We start from the raw sequence: 2,687 nt of genomic DNA on the forward strand, positions 1-2,687 counted from the left end.
CGAGACCAGCCTGGCCAACATGGTGAAACCCCATCTCTACTAAAAATACAAAATTTAGCCAGGTGTGGTGGTGGGTGCCTGTAATCCCAACTACTTGGGATGCTAAGGCAGGATAATCCCTTGAACCCGGGAGGCGGATGTTGCAGTGGCTGAGATCGTGCCACTGCACTTCAGCCCAGGCAACAAAAGTGAAACTCTGTCTCAAAAAAAAAAAAAAAAAAAAGAAATAAACCAAAGACCTGGTTCATTACTACCAAACGAAGACCTTGTTTATTACTACTAAATTGTGCTCTGCATATATGCACATTAACTCAATGAGGGGAAATAAATGCAATTTCTGTACAAAGCCTCCCATGGTAGATCAAGAGTCACCAACTAAAAGATGCATAGAACTATTCCCATATTTAAACTTATATTTCCACTGTTTTATGAAAAAAAAGCCTGACTTGCAATATAGCTTTCTTTTATAAAATGTCTATTACTTATTTAGTTGAAATTTTCAAGTGCAAATATCACAATGGCCTTGGGTGTTATATTGGTGCAGGTAACCTCTTTTGCTTTATGTCTCTTTATGATCTTTTATGAATATTGATATTAACGGATCAAAACTGCAGGTTCATGAATTCAGAACTGTGAACTTCTGCTTTCTATTATCTGCCAGCCACCAGCTACCTTACTGGCTAGTCACTTTACCTCTAGAACTGCTCCTACCATTGTAAATGAGTAGGCTGCACTGGATTATGCTTACATTTTCTTCCAGCTCTAGATTTCTCAAAATCAAAGAAATATCTTCACTCTATCTTTAGTTCCTTCATTTTATAACTCTAAAGGGGAAAACGATCTTTCAGCTTTCTAAGTACATCTAAATGCATTACCTCACTTGCCCCCTCACCACACTCCTGCAAGGTAAAACATCTCTTCTGAAGTATCTCTCTGCAGGTGTAATAGACAGAACACAGAAGACTGGCCAGGTATTGGGCTATGTACCGTGCATTCAAGAACTAGTCAGCTGAAGTTCTTGGACTCATCTAGCTAGGCATTTGCAGTCTGGTAACAACCTTATGATTTCTACCTAAGTGGCACAAATATGTGTAGCTTAGCACAGCACAGCTCACCTTGTTTGACCTGCTCCTTTAAAATAACCTGGTCCAAATGCCTCCCTTTATAGATGAGAATCTAAAGGTCTCTCCCAAAAACACAGTTCAAAAGCATTGTCTCTTTCTATCTGAGTGTCTTTCTTCCTCAATCAACTGTGCCCTTCCAGAATGAATAATTTCCTCCAGGGGCCAGGGAAACAGAGGAAGTAAATTCCACTGAATCCCTCTGTAAATGGTGTGTAGTTTTTCTGGTTGTCAGGTCTTTCCTTTTAAAGGTCACTCTTCCTTGGTAAGAAATTTTCTGATGCAATTGTTGGAAGTAAACTGAGTTGTTTACAGAATGCAGAAGATATGTGATGTGCATGGATGCTTTTCTCTGTAGTCTTTTTCATTTTTTGATATCTTATATACATTGTAAAACTTAGAAATATGAAAAGTATGACAAATAAATAAAACTTATGAAAAATTATAAATAATACTTTTTAAGTCAACATTTTATCACATAAGATATGCTTGTCCTGTGGATAACTCTGCAGTTTCTTATCTTACAAAGGTCATACTCAATGTTTTTAACCTAAATACCAACACTCTTATCCTTGCTCTCATCTTTCTTGTATTCCTCACAGACAGTGAGGGAACTTCTTGCCCAGAAGGAACCTGAATAGAAGGTGACCAACCCAGTAGAATACACCACAGCTCAGGAGAAATGAGCAGATAACAATAATAACTAAAACTGTGGAGCATTTACTTAATGCCAGGAAACTGCTCTAAGTGTTTGATTGTATTAATTCATTTACCCTCCAAAAAACCTCAGAAGATGGGGAATGGGTCCTAAAAAGTACAGGACGCTGGACACAGTCAATGGAGACAGAGACAAGGGACAAGTTCTGGATGAGCTGGAAGGTGACAGTACACAGTGAAGGCAAGGAAGCAAGGCAGAAGAGAGGCGAATGTATTCCTTTTCCCCATGTGCTCACGTCCCCCATACGTACCCACCAAGGACACAGCTGAGTAACTGATACCTAGTACATGCCCAATAGTATGTGAGTTGAATGAAAAACAGTGCAAAGGACCCTTTATAACCCACTGGTCAAAGAAACTAAAGTTGGGTATGACTTTCAAGGTCACCTGGAACAGCCATCCATCCATCCACCACATGGAGGCACTAGCGAGCATCGACACTAGTCTAGTTGCTTTCGAAGTCCATATCCATTATTACCTAGTGAGGAAATTATTATTGTTTCTGTTTTACAGACAGGCACTAGCAAGCATCGACACTAGTCTAGTTGCTTTCGAAGTCCATATCCATTATTACCTAGTGAGGAAATTATTATTGTTTCTGTTTTACAGATGAGAGAACTGAGACTTGACAGGATTAAATAAATTAACCCTTGTAAGTTTACATACTTAATAGGTAGACCTATCTGGATTCAAAGCCAGATACTCTAACTGCAAGACCAACACCCTTTCCACTAAACCAAACTTTGAATTTACTATAGAGAGAGCAATATATGATCAAAGTACAGGAAAATGTATAGGGTTTATTGAAAATGGTCAGAATTTCATTATGTTTATCTTAAATTTAAGGAA

The sequence above is a fragment of the Homo sapiens genome, chromosome 18, assembly GCF_000001405.40.
Source record: "Homo sapiens chromosome 18, GRCh38.p14 Primary Assembly".
Taxonomy (NCBI): domain Eukaryota; kingdom Metazoa; phylum Chordata; class Mammalia; order Primates; family Hominidae; genus Homo; species Homo sapiens.